This window comes from Homo sapiens, chromosome 10 (genome assembly GCF_000001405.40).
Source record: "Homo sapiens chromosome 10, GRCh38.p14 Primary Assembly".
NCBI classification, from domain to species: Eukaryota; Metazoa; Chordata; class Mammalia; order Primates; family Hominidae; genus Homo; species Homo sapiens.
Genome location: NC_000010.11, coordinates 45,561,804 through 45,580,680, shown reverse-complemented (window position 1 = coordinate 45,580,680; position 18,877 = coordinate 45,561,804). Strand labels below are relative to the sequence as shown.

Sequence of the window (18,877 nt, the reverse complement as noted above, 5' to 3'; positions counted from 1 at the left end):
TGAAAGAAGCAAAGAAAAGTGAAACTGGTTCTTGACGAACTTCATATTCAATATAGTTTCAGTTTTCAGGTGACTTAAATAGCTAGATACATTTTTTACATATATGAAATGAGGTGGGAGAGTTTGTAAATTTGAAGCAGCAAATGTTTACTGAATGCAGCCAGGTATGGTGCCATGGCCTCAAGAAATACTTGGAGTGCACAGGGAGTGAGACAGGCACCATCATGTAAGCGGTGGTAGTTCACAGATGGTGAGGGGTGAGATCTCATAAACTGGAGACTGGGACAGGTGTTCATATTCCCTACTTATTTTCATTTTCAAACAGTCACTGTTTATAATATGTCTGTTCTGAGCTTTATGAATTTTTTTTTTTACTTAAGATCATCCTAACTGCCCATTTTGTAAACTTTATTCTCTTAACATTTATTATGTCATATTTCCTGATTTTAAATAACTTCTAATGACTGCATATTGCGTTTTGTGGTTATATCCTAAGTTGTTTACGTAATGATTTCGCTATTGTTTAATGTGGATTATTTTAAGAATTTTGCTATTATAGTTATCATTTGATGAATATCTTCAGCATAAATTTTAGTCCACAGTTTAGATTATTTCTTTCAGATAGTGTCATGAAGTAGAATACTGTGGATTTTTTTTTTTTTTTTTTTTTTTTTTTTGGAGACGGAGTCTTTCAGGCTGGAGTGCAGTGGTATGATCTCGGCTCACTGCAACCTCCGCCTCCCGAGTTCAAGCAATTCTCCTGTCTCAGCCTCCCGAGTAGCTGGGATTACAATGCCCGCCACCACGTCCGGCTAACTTTTGTATTTTTAGTAGAGACAGGGTTTCACCATGTTGGCCAGGCTGGTCTCGAACTCCTGATCTCAGGTAATCCACCCACCTCTGCCTCCCAAAGTGCTGGGATTATAGGCGTGAGCCACCACGCCTGGCCTGGTGTGGATATTTTTAAGGCTCTTGATTCATATTGCTGAACTGCTTTCCTAAAAGATTCTAATTAATGCTTCCACTAGCAAGGTGTTGAGTGGCCATTTTAGGACATCCTTGCCAATGTTGATGTTTTCTAAAAAGAAAATTACCGATTTAACAGGTGGAAAACATCTCATCTTTCATTGACTTTTTGTTTTTGCTTTCCTTTAAAACTTCATTAGCTTCTTTTGTGCAGTTGGCTGTACATGTCCTTTTCCTGTTAATCTTTTGGAGGGGTTATAGTGCTTTTTAAAAGAAATTTGCTTTATATAGCTTGTTTATATATGAAAGGTAGTGACTTTTTGTCTGTCATTTTTGTAAAAAAAAAAAGCTTACCTAGTTTTCTAGTTATGTCTTTTGCTTTATGTGTAACTTACAGAAAAAATACACAAAGAATATAGAGAATTACTACATATAATTTACTAAGATTCACCAGTTGTTTGTATTTTACCTCATTAGCTTTATCACTCTTTCCCCCTTTCTTTTTATGCATATATGTGAATGTATTTTTTGTGATTCATTTGAGTTTAAGTTGTATAAGTCCTAAGAATACTTCAACATGTATTTCTAAGAGCCAGGGTATTCTCTTGCATAACCACAGTAAAATTAGCAGTCAAGAAATTTAACAATTGGTACGGTGTTGTTATCTAATTCATAGTGCAGTTTCAACAGTTGTCCCTATAATGTCCTTTATTGCCCTTTTGTTTTCCATGTCCAGTATCCAGTCCTGAATCGCCATGAAATTATCATATTTCTTTAGTCTCCTTTAATCTGGAGTACTTTGTTAACCTTTCATTGTCATTCTTGACATTGATCTTTTGGAAGAGTACAGATCAGTTATTTTTTTAGAATGTCCCTCACTTTTTACTTGTCTGAAATTTCCTCATGGTTAGATTCAGTTCATGCATTTTATGCAAGGATAACAAAAAAGTGATTTTTATTTTTCTCAGTGCAGCATATTAGGAGCAACCTGATGTCAGTTTGTTCTAATATTGCTGATAACATCAAACAGTTGGTTTAGTTGGTATCTGCCAGATTTCTCTACTGCCATGATACTGTTTTTCTCTTTGAAGTTAATATTTGTTGACAATGTGTTAATATCCTGTTCCTCATCAAACTTTCACCCACTAGTTTTAGCGTCCAGTGATGACTTTCCAACTGCATGCTTCCTTCTGTAGCTATTGATTGGCATTCTACTGTAAGGAAGACCTTTCCCTCCTCCCTCCACATCCCATTTATTTATTTGTTCAATTATTTATTTGAATGATTCATATACATATTCTTATTTAGTGGTCTGTAACTCATTACTGTTATTATCTTGATACTAAAATCATCCCAAATTTGGTCTGTGTAAACTCTTTCAAACTGGCTTCTGTGTTTTCATATGTCTCCAGAATTCTTTGAGTACCTATTTACTTTCTGGTGCAACAAGATGATCTGGGCTCATTTTGTATGGCCCACCCCTCAAATCAGCTTTTCTTCGAGGAGTATTGTTACTATTAGTGAGGAAAAAATGGTATTTGGAAATCAAGATCTGGATATATGATGTGCTTATTGTGACTGATGTGTCATTATTTCTAGGCCTACTCAGTGGCCACAGCTAGGATATGTTTGTTTGTGTGTAAATAGATATATGTATATCCATATTTTAATTTTTTATTAAACAATTTTTTTAGAGACAGGGTCTCACTCTGTCTCCTAGGCTGGAATGCAGTGGTATGATCATAGCTCACTGTAACCTCGAACTCCTGGGCTCAAGCAAATCCCCCTACCTTGGTTTCCCAAGTAGCTAGGACTACAGACATGGGCCACCATGCCCAGCTATTTTTAAAATTTTTAGTAGAGATGGGATCTTGCTGTATTCTCCAGGCTGGTCTTAACTCCTAGCCACAGGCAGTCCTCTGCTTTGGCCTCCTTAAAGTGGTAGGATTACAGATACTTATTTTAAATTTATATATCTTAGTTCGTTATGCTGCTATAACAAAATACCTGAGACTGGGTAATTTATAAACAGTGGAAATTGATTTCTTATGGTTCTAGCAGCTGGGAAGTTCAAGGCACCAGCATTCATTCTCTGGTGAGGGCCTTCTTGCTGTATCTTCGTGTGATGGAAAAGTGGAAGGGCAAAAGGGCTGACTAGCTCCTCCAGCCCTTTTTTAAATAATATTTTTAATTTTTAATTTTTGTGGGCACATAGTAGGTATATATATATTTGTGAGGTGCATGAGATATTTTGATACAGGCATGCAATGTGAAATAATCATATCGCGGCAAATAGGGTATACATCCCCTCATGCATTTATCCTTTGTGTTACAAGCAATCCAATTACACTCTTATTTTAAAATGTATAATTGTTACTATTGACTGTAGTCATCCTGTTGTTCTATCAAATAGTGAGTCTTATTCATCCTTTCAATTTTTTTTTTGTGCCCATTAACCATCCCCACCTTCCCCACAGCCCCCCATTAACTTCCCAGCCTCCAGTAACCATCCTTCTACTGTCTATGTTCATTAGTACAATTGTTTTGATTTTTAGATCCCACAAATAAGTGAGAACATGTGATGTTTCTCTTTCTGTGCCTGGCTTATTTCACCCTCTGGCTCTTTGATGAGTCCCTAATCCCATTCATGAAGTCTCTGCCCTCATGATTTAATCACCTCATAAAGTCCTCAAGTCTTAATATTAGCATTGGCAATTAAGTTTCTTTTTTTTTTTTTTTTCTTTTCTCTTTTTGTTTAGAGACAGAGTCTCACTTTATCACCCAGGCTGGAGTGCAGTGGTGCAATTGTAGCTCACTGTAGCCTTGACTTCCTGAGCTCCAGTGATCTTCCCACCTTAGCTTCGTGCGTAGCTGGGACTTTTAAGCTGGGATGCTTTAAGGTGCTTGCCACCATGCCTGGCTAGTTTTTTTTTTTTTTTTTTAATTTTTATTTGTAGTAGAGATGAAGCCTCACTGTGTTGTCCAGGCTAGTTTTGTATTCCTGAGCTCAAACAATTCTCCTGCCTTGGCCTCCCAGAGTGCTAGGATTACAGGCTTGAGCCAGGACACCAGGGCGTGATTAAGTTTCAACATGAGAATTTTGGGGACACGTTCATACCCTAGCAACATCTATGTATACACACATATATTAACAACTATTAACAATATGATTTCATATTGATTCTACCAGTGTTATTCTAACACCATGAGGGGGTGGTACTTCTTGCATCTTCCTTAGGTTGAATTTCATCAAATGCTTTTCTTGCATCTTGCCTACACTCTGTGCAAAGATATGCTGTATTTATTTCTAGAAGTTTTATAGTTTTGGCTTTAGGTTCAGATCTATGATCAATCTCAAATTATTTTTTATTCATGGTGTGAGATGGGGTTGAAGTTCATCATTGTTCTGTATTGGATATCCAACTGATCCAGCACTATTTGTTGAAAAGCAATTCCCCATTGAATTGCTTTGATGCCTCCCCTGAAAATCATTTAACTGTATATGTGTGAGTCTGTTTCTGGACTTTGTATTCTGTTCTCTTGATCTGTTTGTTTGTCTTTAGGCCAGCACAGTACTCTCCTGATTATTGTAGCTCTGTAAGAAGCCTTGAAGTCAGATAGTTTAAATTTCACTCATGTCCCTGTGAAGAGACCACGGAACAGGCTTTGTGTGAGCAATAAAGCTTTTTAATCACCTGGGTGCAGGCGGTCTGAGTCCGAAAAGAGTCAGCAAAGGGAGAAAGGGGTGGGGCCATTTTATAGGATTTGGGTAGGTAAAGGAAAATTAGTCAAAGCGGGTTGTTCTTTGGTGGGGGTCACAAGGTGTTCATTGGGGGAGCTTTCGAGCCAGGATGAGCCAGGAGAAGGAATTTCACAAGGTAATGTCATCAGTTAAGGCAGGAACAGGCTATTTTCACTTCTTTTGTGATTCTTCAGTTACTTCAGGCCATCCGGATATATATGTGCAGGTCACAGGGCATATGATGGCTTAGCTTGGGCTCAGAGGCCTAACATTCCTGTAGTCTTATATTAATAAGAAAAATAAAACGAAATAGTGGTAAAGTGTTGGGGTAGCGAAAATTTTTGGGGCTGGTATGGATAGATAATGGGCGATGTTTCTCAGGGCGGGATTAGGAGCGGCATGGGAACCTAGAGTGGGAGAGATTAAGCTGAAGGAAGATTTTGTGGTAAGAGGTGATATTGTGGGGTTGTTTGAAGGAGCATTTGTCGTATAGAATTATTGGTGATGGCCTGGATATGGTTTTGTATGAATTGAAAAACTAAACAGAATAAGAGGAGAAAAACAGGTATTAAAAGACGACAGAATAGAGTGGGCCTGTGAGGCTGGAAGGATATATTTTCCTTGGTCCAAAAACCCTTGCCTTGTGTGGGAAGAGATTGATAGGTGGAAGTTTCAGTGGGGGAGTAGGTGGGAGTGGCCAGATGAGAAGGAGAAAAACTGCTCTGTGAGATAGAAGTTGGAACGCTGGCTGCTTTTTTTAGTTGCCCTATTAGCATAAGCATTGTCCTGGGCGATGGGATCTGATACTTTTTGATGGCTGCTTTTTTAGCTACCTTATCAGCATAAGCGTTGTCCTGAGCAATGGGATCTGATGCCTTTTGATGGCCCTTGCAGTGAATGACCCCAGCTTCCTTCAGAAGTAAAGCGGCTTTGAGAAGAGTTTTTATTAAAGAGGTATTAGTGATGGAGGACCCTTGCATAGTGAGGAATTTTTTTTTTTTTTTGCCTATATAACAGCATGGTGGTGCAGGATATGGAAGGCATATTTAGAGTCAGTATAAATATTGATGTGTAGTCCTTTTGGAAGAGTGAGGGCTCAAGTTAAGGCAATGAGTTTGGCTTGCTGAGAGGTAGTGGGGTGGGCAGAAAGTATATGCATCAGGTGTGAGAAAGAAAATAGATTTTGGAAGTTATGAGAACTGTAGAGAGTGAGTTGAGCATAGTTTGTGATTTTGAAAGCCTCTGAAAGTATTAAGGCAGCGGTAGCCGCCACATGCAGACAGGAGGGCTAGGCTAAAACAGTAAGGTCAAATTGTTTGGATAAAAAGGCTACAGGGCGCGGTCCCAGCTCTTGTGTAAGAACACTGGCTTGACTGAGGTGATGGGGGCTGTCTGTGAAGCCTTGTGGCAGTACAGCCCAGGTAATTTGCTGAGCCTGATGGGTGTTAGGGTCAGTCCAAGTGAAAGCGAAGAGAGGCTGGGATGAAGGGTGCAAAGGACTAGTAAAGAAAGCATGTTTGAGATCCAGAACAGAATAATGGGTTGTGGAGGGGAGGTATTGAGGATAGGAGAGTATATGGGTTTGGCACCACGGGGTAGATAGGCAAAACAATTTGGTTGATAAGATGCAGATCCTGAACTAACCTGTAAGACTTGTCTGGTTTTTGGACAGGTAAAATGGGGGAATTGTAAGGAGAGTTTATAGGCTTTAAAAGTCCATGCTGTAACAGGTGAGTGATAACAGGCTTTAATCCTTTTAAAGCGTGCTGTGGGATGGGATATTGGCATTAAGTGGGGTAAGGGTGACTAGGTTTTAATGGGATGGTAAGAGGTGCATGATCGGTTGCCAAGGAGGGAGTAGAGGTATACTATACTACGGTTTAAGGTGGGGAGATACAAGGGGAGGATGTGTGAAGGAGGCTTTGAACTGGGGGAAAAGGCAACAATGAGGTGTGGCTGTAGCCCAGGAATAGTCAGGGAAGCAAATAATTTAGTTAAAATGTTTTGACCTATTCAGGGAGCTGGGCAGGTGGGGATAACTAAAAAGGAGTGCTTAAAAGAGTATTGTCCAAGTTGGCACCAGAGTTGGGGAGTGTAAGAGGTTTTAGAAGCGTGGTCTTCAATACCCACAACAGTTATGGAGGCAAAGGAAACAGGCCCTTGAAAAGAAGGTAATGTGGAGTTGGTAGCCTCTGTATTGATTAAGAAGGGGATGGACTTACCCTCCACTTTAAGAGTTACCTAAAGCATCTGTGATGGTCCAGGAGGCTTCTGTGGTGATCGGGCAGCATCAGTCTTTAGCCACGAAGCTGAGAAGATCTGGGAAGGAGTCAGTCAGAGAGCCTTGGGCCGGAGTTCCAGGGGCTCTGGGAGTGGCTGCTGGGCGAGTTGGATTTCCAGTGGGGTCCCGCACAGATGGGACAAGGCTTAGGAGGAATCCCGGGCTTCAGGCATTCCTTCGCCCAGTGGCCAGATTTCCGGCACCTGAAGCAAGTTCCTGGGGGAGGAGGTTCTGGAGGAACCCCTGGCAGCTGCAGTTCAGGTGTTTGGAGTTCTTGTGTGCTGGAGATGTGGCTGGGGTTTTTCTCACAGTGGAGGCAAGGAATTGCAACTCAGAAATACATTGCTACTTGGCTGCCTCTACTTTATTATTGTACACCTTGAAGGAGAGGTTAATTAAGTCCTGTTGTGGGGTTTGAGGGCCGGAATTTAATTTTAGGAGTTTTATTTAATGTCAGGAGCTGACTGGGTGTTAAAATGCATAATTAGAATGAGATGGCCTTCTGACCCTTCAGGGTCTAGGGCTGTAAAGAGTCTTAAGGGTTGCTGCTAAATGGGCCATGAACTGGGCTGGGTTTTTCATATTTGATGAAAAAGAGCCTAAACGCTAACTGATTTGGGAGAGGTCCGATAAAGAAAAAGGAGCATTAACCTTTACTATGCCTTTAGCTCCAGCCACCTTTTTAAGAGGAAATTGCTGGGCAGGTGGGGGAGGGCCAGTCGCAGAACGAAACTGTAAGCTGGACCAGGTGTGAGGAGGGGGAGGTGATAAAAGGATTGTAGGGTGGCGGGGCGGAGGCTGAGGAAAAAATGGAAAGACTTGGGACTGTCTTCCCAAGTCCATGACCAGCGCTGGAGTTTTGGGTCCACGGATAAAACACGTTTCCTATGTCTCTACCAGAAAAGCAGCCTGGGGAGGAGGGGAGAGGTCAGATGGGTCAGTAGAAAAGGAAGATTCAAAAGACTCAGAGACGCTTGGGGTTGGGACTGAAGGGACAGGCGGGAGGGAAAGAAGGAAGATTTGGGACGAGTTGCATTGGGGAACAGAGACTAGGGATGGACCGATGTGTAAAAGAATGCCTGGACGTCAGGCACCTCAGACCGTTTGCCTATTTTACAACAAGAATTATTTAGGTCTTATAGGATGGAGAAATCGAAAATGCCGTTTTCTGGCCATTTAGAGCCGTTATCGAGTTTGTATTGGGGTTAAGTGGCATTGCAGAAGAAAATATTGCAGAAGAAAATAAGGCATTTAGGTTTTAGGTCAGGTGTGAGTTGAAGAGGTTTTAAGTTCTTGAGAACACAGGCTAAGGGAGAAGAAGGAGGAATGGAGGGTGGAAGGTTGCCTATAGTGAAGGAGGCAAGTCCAGAGAAAAGAGAGGGTAGAGACATGGAGAAAAGGGGTGGGGGTGCTTGCCCCCCAGGAAAGTGGAGAGAAAAGAGAGGGTAGAGACACAGAGAAGGGGTGAGGGGGTGCTTGCCCCCCAGGAAAGTGGAGAAGGGGTGGGGACACAGAGAGAAGGGGTAAGGGGTGCTTGCCCCCCAGGAAAGTGGAGAAGGGGTGGGGACACAGAGAGAAGGGGTAAGGGGTGCTTGCCCCCCAGGAAAGTGGAGAAGGGGTGGGTGAGCAGCCAAAGCAGGTGTCCCTGCAATTGACTTGCCACCAAGGGAATGTGGGTGAATGACAAAGGCAGGCGTCCCCGCGGTGATAAGACACCAATGAAATGTGGGTGAATAATCAGGTAGGTGTCCCCGCGTGATTAAACACCAAGGGAAGACTGTCTTCCTGAGTCTATGACTGGTGCTGGAGTTTTGGGTCCACGGATAAAACATGTCTCCTTTGTCTCTACCAGAAAAGGAAAGGAACTGAAATTAAGAGAAGGGAGAGATTGAAGTGTGGCGCGAAGATTGAAAGGAGAAAGAGATTGAGGGATAGTGAGAGAGGTTGGAGAAGAGAGTAAAAAGAGGCCGCTTACCCAATTTAAAATTGGTGAGATGTTGCTTGGGCTGGTTGGTCAGAGGACCAGAGGTCGTAGGTGGACCTTTCTCACAGAGCAAAGAGCAGGAGGACAGGGGATTGATCTCCCAAGGGAGGTCCGCCGATCCGAGTCACGGCACCAAATTTCACTCACGTCTGTGAAGAGACCACCAAACAGGCTTTGTGTGAGCAATAAAGCTTTTTAATCACCTGGGTGCAGGTGGGCTGAGTCCAAAAAGAGAGTCAGCAAAGGGAGAAAGGGTGGGGCCATTTTATAGGATTTGGGTGGGTAAAGGAAAATTACAGTTAAAGGGGGTTGTTCTTTGGTGGGCAGGGGTCGGGGTCACAAGGTGCTCAGTGGGGGAGCTTTTGAGCCAGGATGAGCCAGGAGAAGGAATTTCACAAGGTAATGTCATCAGTTAAGGCAGAAACAGGCTATTTTCACTTCTTTTGTGATTCTTTAGTTACTTCAGGCCATCTTGATGTATAGGTGCAGGTCACAGGGGATATGATAGTTTAGCTTGGGCTCAGAGGCCTGACATTAACTCCTTCAACTTTGTTCTTTTTTAAGATTGTTTTGGCCGTTCTAGGTCTTTTGAATTTTCATATACTTTCATATTTCATATACTTTTATATTTCATAGGCTTTTAGAATCAAAAGCCTAATTTCTATAAAAGTGCCTGGTGGGAATATGGTTGGAATTGTGATTTGGGCAGAATCAACATCTTGACAGTGTTGAAATTTTCGAATTACAAACATGGTATATATCTTCATTTACTTAGGTATTTCTTTCAGCAGTGTTTTGTGGTTTTCAGTATATGGGGCTTCCATATCTTTTGTTAAGTTTATTCTTAAGTAATCTGCTTTTTGGTATTGAGAAACGTTTTTAAAATTTCATTTTGTTGGTGGAATATAGAAATACAATTGTTTATTGACCTGCCATCCTGCAACTTTGCCAAACTTACTTAAATGAATCTTGTTAGATTGACATAATTCTTAAAAATTTGTTTGTTAACAATTATATTGCCTCTGAAAAGAAAGTTTTATAACTTCGTTTCAAATATTTATGCGTAGTATTTCTTTTCCTTGCCTATTACATTGGCTAGGATCTTCTATATAATATAATGTTGAGTAGACTTGCTGCGATTTCTATCACTATCTTTGCCATGTTGCCAATCTTTGAGGGAAAGTCCTCAGAATTTCATTATTTGCTGAAGGTTTATATGATAGAGGAAGTTTCTTTCTGTTTGTAGGTGTGCTAAAATTTTTATTTTTTTTAACCCGGAATGGATATGGAACTTCGTCAAATGCTTTCATTGCATCTGGTATTATAGTAAATGAAATTGCCTTTTATATGTGAATCCAAATTTTATATTCCTGGGATAAATACTGCAGTATCATGATATATTATTCTTTTTGTAAGTTACTGATTTTGATCTTTCCATTGTTTTGCTGAGGATGTTTTCATCTGTGTTAATCACCTATGGTCATGTTTTATAGTTTTTTTATAAATGAAAAATATTTTGGTAATGGGTTTATGCAAACCTTCTAAAATGAATTGGGAATTGTTTACTCCTTTATTTTCTTCCACATGTGTCTGATAGACTTCACCAGTGAAACCATCTGAGTTTTGAGTCTTCTTTTTGTAAAAGGGTAGGCTGAGTATTTTAACTTAATAAATACATGGCTGTTTAGATTTTAAAAGTTTTATCTTGTGTCAGTTGTGGAAAGTGTTGTGCTTTTCACTCTATTATTAGTGCTGTGTGGTTTATCTTTCCATCCTCTTTATTTTAACCCGTGTCTTTATATTCAAAAGGTATCTCTTGTAGACATAATTGGGTCTTGTTTTTTTCTTCTCCCCAATCTGAAAAAAAGCTACATTTTAATTGGAATATTTAGTCTCCTTGATACACAATTGATCCTCATTATTTGAGGATTCCATACATGTGAAAATTGCAAATTTTATTTGTAACCCCTAAATCAATACTTGAAGTGTTCCCGTGGTCATTCATAGACATGTACAGAGTAGCGAAAAATTTGAGTCATCTTCACACATTTTTTCCCAACTGAGGTCAAATAAGGTGACGCTCTGCCCTCCTGTTTCAGCTCTCATACTTTGAAAAACAAGGGTCCTTTTCCACACATCAAAAAAAGAAAACTGCAGGCCAATATCTCTGATGAATATTGAGGCAAAAATCCTCAACAAAATACTAGTAAACTAAATTGAGCAATACATTAGAAAGATCATTCAACATGACCAAGTGGGATTTATCCCTGGGATGCAAGGATGCTTCAGCATATGCAGATCAGTCTGTATGGTACATGATATCAACAGAATGAAGGATAAAAACCATATAATCATTTCAATTAGTGCTGAAAAAAATTTGATGAAATTTAACATCTCTTTATGTTGAAAAACCCTCAAAAAACTGGGGATAGAGGGAACATACCTCAACGTAATTAAAGCCATATATGACAGACTCACAGCTAATATCACACTGCATGGGGAAAAACTGAAAGCCTTTTGTCTAAGGCAGGTTTGTTCAATCCATGGCTTAAGGGCTGCATTCAGTCCAATACAAATTTGTAAACTTTCTTAAAACATTATGATGTGGTTTTTTTTTGCAATTTTTTTTTTTTTTTTTTTTTTGAGATGGAGTCTTGCTCTGTCGCCCCGGCTGGAGTGCAGTGGCGCCATCTCGGCTCACTGCAAGCTCCGCCTCCCGGGTTCATGCCATTCTCCTGCCTCAGCCTCCCGAGTAGCTCGGACTACAGGCGCCCACTACCACACCCGGCTTTTTTGTATTTTTAGTAGAGACAGGGTTTTACCGTGTTAGCCAAGATGGTCTCGATCTCCTGACCTCGTGATCCACCTGCCTTGGGCTCCCAAAGTGTTGGGATTACAGGTGTAAGCCAGCACACCCGGCTTGTTTTGCAATTTTTTTAAAGCTCACCAGCTATCATTAGTGTTAGTGGTTTTTTTTTTTTTTTTTTTTTTTGAAACAGTCTCGCTCTGTCACCAGGCTGGAGTGCAGTGGTGCCATCTCAACTCACTGCAACCTCCGCCTCCTGGGTTCAAGTGATTCTCTTGCCTCAGTCTCCCGAGTAGCTGGGATTACAGGCACGTGCCACCACACCCAGCTAATTTTTGTATTTTTAGTAGGCATGGGGTTTCACCACGTTGGCCAGGATGGTCATGATCTCTTGACCTCGTGATCTGCCCGTCTCGGCCTCCCAAAGTGCTGAGATTACGGGTGTGAGCCACTGCACCTGGCTTAGTGTTAGTGTATTTTATGTGTGGTTCAAGACAGTTCTTCCAGTGTGGTCCAGGGAAACCGAAAATTGGACACCCTTGCTCCAAGATCTGGAATATGACAAGGATGCCCACTGTCACCACTGTTATTCAATGCAGTACTAGAAGTCCTAGCTAGAGCAGTCAGACAAGACAAGGATATAAAGGGTATCCAGATTGGAAAGGAAGAAGTCAAATTATCGTTGTTTACAGATGGTGTAATTTTATATTTGGAAAAACCTAAAGACTCCACAAGAAAATTATTAGAACTGGTAAATTCAGTGAAGCTGCAGGATACAAAATTAACGTACCAAAATCAGTAGCATTTCTATTTGTCAACAGTGAACAATGTGAAAAAGAAATAAAAAAGTATCCCATTTGGAAGCCACACATAAAATAAAGCACCTAGGAATTACCCAAATAAATGAAAGGTCTCTATAATGAAAACTATAAAACACTGATGCAAGAAATTGAAGAGGACACCAAAAAATGGAAAAATATTACATGTTCATGGATTGGAAGAATCAGTATTGTTAAAATGTCCATACTACCCAAAGCAGTCTACAGATTAAATGCAAACCCTACCAAAATATCAATGACATTCTTCACAGAAACAGAAAAAACAATCCCAAAATTTTTATGGAACAACAGAAGACCCAGAATAGCCAAAGCCGTTCTAAGCAAAAGAACAAGACTGGAGGAATTACATTACCTGACTTCAAATTATACTATGGAGATACAGTAACCAAAACAGCATGGTACTGGCATGAAAACAGATCCATAGACCAATGGAACAGAATAGAGAACCGAGAACCCAGAAATAAATCCACACACGTACAGTGAGCTCATTTTTGACAAAGGAGCCAAGAACATACTCTGGGGAAAAGACAGTCTCTTCAATAAATCGTGCTGAGAAAACTGGATATCCATATGCAGAAGAATTAAACTAGACCCCTATCTCTTACTGTATAAAAAATCAAATCATAATGGGTTAAAGGCTTAAAGCTAAGACCTCAAACTATGAAACTACTACAAGGAAACATTAGGAAAATCTTCAAGACATTGTTCTGGGCAAAAATGCCTTGAGCAATAACCCACAAGTACAGGCAACCAAAGCAAAAATGGACAAATGGGGTCACATCAAGTTAAAAAGCTTCTGCACAGCGAAGGATACAGTCAACAAAAGGAAGAGACAACGTACAGAATGGGAGAAAATATTTGCAAACTACCCAGCTGGCAAGGGCTTAATAACCAGAGTATATAAGGAGTTCTACTAACTCTATAGGAAAAAATAATGTAATAATCCAATTAAAAATGGGCAAAAGATTCTAGTAGACATTCTCAAAAGAAGATGTACAAGTGGCAAACAGGTATATGAAAAGGTGCTCAACATCAATCATCAGAGAAATGCAAATCAAAACTACAATGAGATATCTCACCTAATTAATATGTCATATCCAAAAGACAGGCAATAATAAATGCTGGTGAGGATGTGGAGAAAAGGAAACCCTCATACACTGTTGGTAGGAATGGAAATTAGTATAACCACTATGGAGAACAGTTTGGAGGTTCCTCAAAAAACTAAAAATTGACCTATCGTATGATCTGGCAATCCCACTGCTAGGTATATACCCTCCCCCCCTCCCCCCGCCAGAAAGAAATCAATATATCAAAGAGATACCTGCACTCCTGTTTTTGTTGCAGCACTGTTTACAATAGCTAAGATTTGCCAGCAACCTAAGTGTTCATCAGCAGATGAATGGATAAAGAAAATGTGATACACAGTGGAGTACTTACTATTCAGCTGTCAAAAATAATGAGATCCAGTCATTTGCAGCAATATGGATGGAACTGGAGATCATTATGTTAAGTGAAATAAGCCAGGCACAGAAAGACAAGCCTTGCGTGTTCTCACTTATTTGTGGGATCTAAAAATCAAGACAATTGAACTCATGGACGTAGAGAGTAAAAGGGTGGTTACCAGAGGCTAGGAAGGGTAGTGGGGTGCTGAAGGGAAAGTAGGATTGTTAATGGGTACAAAAAAAAATAGAATGGATAAGACTTACTGTTTGATAGCACAATAAAGTGGTTATAGTCAATAATAATTGCACATTTTAAAATAACTTAGAGTATAATTGGATTGTTTGAAACTCAGAGGATAAACGCTTTAGGGTATGGATACCCTATTCTTCATGATGTACTTACTTCACATTGCTTACCTGTATGAAAACATCTAATGTACCTCATAAATATATACACCTACTGTGTGCCCACAGAAATCTAAGAAAGGGTTCTTTTCCAGTCTGTTCAGTGCCACATTTTCCACATTTTTATACTTCTTTTGGGGTGACTTTGCTGTTTAAAATGACCCTCAAGTGTAGGGCCGATGTGCCACCTGGTGATCCCAAGTGCAAGAGGCTGTGATGTGCCAATGGAGAAAATACATGTATTAGATAAGCTTCACTCAGACAAGAATTGTAGTGCTGTTGGCCATGGGTTTAATATAAGTAAATTAACAATAGATATTAAATGAGGTGTTTTAAACAAAAACACATATAAAACAAGATTATGTATTGCTCAGCTGACTAAGGTAGCAGGACCAGAGGCTTGCACGGACTTAATACTATTTTCCCAAGAGCAGTGGTTCCATATTTGGTAACTCAGTGTTCATGATGACTTTATAGAGCATAACTACTATGAATAAGGAGAATTCACTGTAGTTGGGTTTAGGTCTACTAGTTTGCTGTTTGTCTTCTGGTGTCCTTTTTTTTTCCTGCTACTCTTTTTCTACTTTAGGGCTAATTGAATATTTTTTAGTATTCCATGTAATGACTTTTTTTTTTTATTTTTTTGCAGTTGCATCCTTATCCTTGCCTACTTAGAATTAACATACCACTTCTCATAAAATTAAGAATTGCAATAACACAGTTCCATTCCCTACCCAGTCATTGTGCTATTGTTGTCATATATGTTTATATTTATTTTTATTTTTATGATGCAGGGTCTTACTCTCTCGCCCAGGCTGGAGTGCAGTCACAATCTTGGCACACTGTATCCTCTGCCTCCTGGGTTCAAGCGATCCTCCTATCTCAGTTTCCTAAGTAGCTGGGACTACAGGCATGCACCACTAGGCCCGGTTAATTTTTGTACTTTTTGTAGAGTTGGGATTTCACCATGTTGCCCAGGCTGGTCTTGAACTCCTGGGCTCAAGTGATTCACCCCCCTTGGCCTCCTAAAGTGCTGGGATTACAGAGATGACAGCCTACTGTCATGTATTTTATGTACACCTATGTTATAAGCCCCATGATACAGTGTTGTTATTGCTTTCAACAGCCAGCGTGTGTCTTCTAAAGAAATTAAGAGAATAAATTGAAAAATAGTTCTTTATATTTATCCACACATTTAACACTTCCAGTATTTTTTTTTTTTTTTTTTTTAGTGGATCCTAGTTTTTATATGTTATTTGCTGGGGATTAATTTCCTTAGTTTTTGTTTATCAGACCATGTCTTTATTTTGTCTTCACTGTTGAAGGATGTTTTTGCTGCATGTGGAGTTCTGGGCTGATAGTTCTCTTTGAGCATTATAGATGTTGTTGCATTACTTCCTGGCTTCTTTTTCTGATTAAAAAAAAAATCAGCTGGCCGTCATATTACTGTTATTGTCGTCGTTGTTGTTGTTTATTCTTAGTTACTGTCAATATTTTTCTCCTTTTGGTTTTCAGCAGTTTATCTACAGTGTGCTCAGTTGTATTTCTATTTGTATTAATCCTACTTAGTGTTCTCTGAGTCTTTTGGATTTATAAGTCAGTATTTTTTGCTAAATTTGGGAAGTTTTTGGTTATTGCATCTTCAATTATTTTCTCTGGTCCAGTTTCACTTTCTTCCCCTCCACCTGCATTTCTGATTATGTACATGTCATAATGATTGATATTATCTCAGAAGTTTGTGAGAGTTTGTTCATTTTTCTCCAGTCTTTTTTTCTGTTTTTCAGTGTGGGTAATTCCTATTGGTTTGTTTTCCAGTTCAGTGACTGTGTCATATTCAGTCTACTGTTAAGATCATAAAGTGCATTTTTTGTTTTAATTTTCAGTCTTTTCTGTTTTTGAATTTCTATTTGGTTCTGTTTTATACTTCTTATTTATATTTTTTGAGACGGAGTCTCACTCTGTTGCCCAGGCTGGAGTGCAGTGGCACAATCTGCTCACTGCAGCTTCCGCTTCCCAGGTTCAAGCGATTCTCCTGCCTCAGCCTCCTGAGTAGTTGGGATTACAGGTGCCTGCCACCACATCTGGCTGATTTTTGTATTTTTAGTAGAGACAGTGTTTCACCATGTTGGCCAGGCTGGTTTCGAACTCCTGACCTCAGGTGATCCACCTGCCACGGCCTCCCAAAGTGCTGGGATTACAGGCGTGAGACACCACGCCTAGCCACTTTTTATTTCTTTGCTGAGATTTCCTACCTGTTTGCTCAATAAGACCATGTGTTGTCAACTTTCTCTTACTTTTGGTGGGTAATAGCTGAAATAAGCCTTATTCTGATATGGTAATTCTTGTTAACTTTTGACTGGTGCTTACTTAACCTTTTTAGTCCTCACTTTAAACTTTTTGTGCTATTCATTGGGTATGTCTTATGTAAATAATATGTAACTGAAATTAATTTATGTTTTATAAAATAATCTTATTTGTCTTTTAATTGGCAAGTTTAATTCATTTACATAGATTATGGTTATTGATATATTTGTAATGAATATTTGCCATTTTACTTTTTGCTTTCTGTTGACACTTTCCGTGCTCTTTTCTTTTTTGTTCCTTTTAAAAATACAATTAAGGTTTTTTCACTTGATTTTTTTCTTATGGTATTTTTCCTCTGAATTGGTTTGGAAGTATTTTTGTGGTTTATTCTTGAGATATTATCATAGACTTACGTTAACAAAGCTGAATGAACCTTATCAATATCTTAATTGCCTGCTAAGACAAAGACTTTATCATCTCTCATATATACAGAGGATTGGTTCCAGAACCCTTGCGTATACTACAGCCTGCATATACTCATATCATGCTGTTGACCCAGCAGAACCTGTCTTTAAGAAAAATCGGGGCTGGGCGCAGTGGCTCACGGCTGTAATTCCAGCACTTTGGGAGGCCGAGGCAGGAGGATTGCTTGAGGCCAGGAGCTTGAGACCAGCCTGGACAACAAAGTGAGACAGTGTCTCTACAAAAAATAAAAAAATTACCCAGGTATGGTGGTGCAGGCCTGTAGTCCCAGCTACCCCGAAAGCTGAGGCAGTAGGATCACTTGAGCCCAGGAGTTGGAGGCTGCAGTGAGCTATGATGGTGCCACTGCACTCCAGCCTGGGTGACAGAGTGAGACTCTGTCTTGGAAGGGAGGGGAAGGAGAGAGGAAGGGAGGGAGGGAGAGAGACTGTATATATGTGGGTTTTGCATCCCTCATCTATGTTTGGTTTAAAAAAAAAAAACCCACATATAAGTCAACCTGCACAGTGGAAACCCGTACTATTCAAAGGGTCAACTGTACTTTAATGACCTCCCCTTCCTCATGCCCTTACCTTAAACACTGATTTTTGAGATTTTTATTTTCTCACTGTTGTTTAAATCCTGTTGCTAATTATTATTATTTTTAGCATGGGGAATGTTTGCTGACACATACTTGCGTGTTTAATACTTGAATGTCATTTCATCTGACATCTCAGATCTCTATTCTGAGCTCATTTTCTGTTTTGCTACAGTATATTCTTTTGAAGTTTCTTTTTTTTAAAAAAAATAAGCTTATCTAAGGACGAGGTTTCTTTAGTGATCATCTGCTGGTCATAAACTCTGTTACTTTAGCTGGGAATATCTTGATTTCATCTTTGTTCTTGAAGGATAGTTTTGTTGTGCATATGATGACAGTTGACAAGTTTCCTTGATACTTCGAAGATAATATTCTACTGTCTGCTGGCTTGTTACTGGTGAGAATTCTATAGTCTGAGCTAATTGTAGTAGTCTGTCTTCTGTCTTTACTCTCTGTGTTTTAAAATCTTTTCTTTGGCTTTATTTTGCGATTTACCACAATGCCTGTGAGTCTAGGGGTGGATTTCTTTTTGTTTATATTGGTAGGTGTATGTTGTGCTTCTTAAATCTAGATTTAAGTCTTTTATCTGTTTTTGAAAATTCTCAGCCCTTAACCTCTTCATGTATTGCTTCTCTTCTATTCTCTGTATTGTTTCCCACTAGGACTTAAATTAGTCATGTGTGAGTCCATCTCAGTCTATTCTTTATGTCCCTTAATCTCTTTAGTGTTTTTCATTTCCCTAACTCTGAGTAATTTATTCCAATTTGGCATGTAGTTTGGTAATCTCTCCTTAGCTGTGACTAATATGCTATTTAATTAACTCATTTGGTTTTCATTTTAATACTTAGATTTTTAATTTGTGAAAGCAATGTTTTATTGTTTGAAACTGGCTGTTTTTAGTACTTTGTTGTTTGCTCATTTTAAAATTTCTTTTTTTTTTTTTTTTTTTTTGAGACGGAGTCTTGCTCCGTTGCCCAGGCTGGAGTGCAGAGGCTCCATCTTGGCTCACTGCAAGCTCTGCTTCCTGGGTTCACGCCATTCTCTTGCC

General features: G+C 39.6%; 1 protein-coding gene across 12 annotated transcripts in view, besides 1 other annotated feature; it reads left to right on the top strand.

Moving 5' to 3' along the window:
- Positions 1–18,877, top strand: part of MARCHF8 (membrane associated ring-CH-type finger 8) — a 140,323-nt gene that overhangs the window by 14,227 nt on the left and 107,219 nt on the right. The window lies entirely within an intron of this gene.
- Positions 5,169–5,829: an enhancer, noted in NCBI's record as "OCT4-NANOG-H3K27ac hESC enhancer chr10:46070300-46070960 (GRCh37/hg19 assembly coordinates)". NCBI's record gives its function as "activates a minimal SCP1, AML or CMV promoter by ChIP-STARR-seq in naive and primed H9 embryonic stem cells {active_cell/tissue: H9 hESC(naive and primed)}" and the evidence as "EXISTENCE:reporter gene assay evidence [ECO:0000049][PMID:30033119]".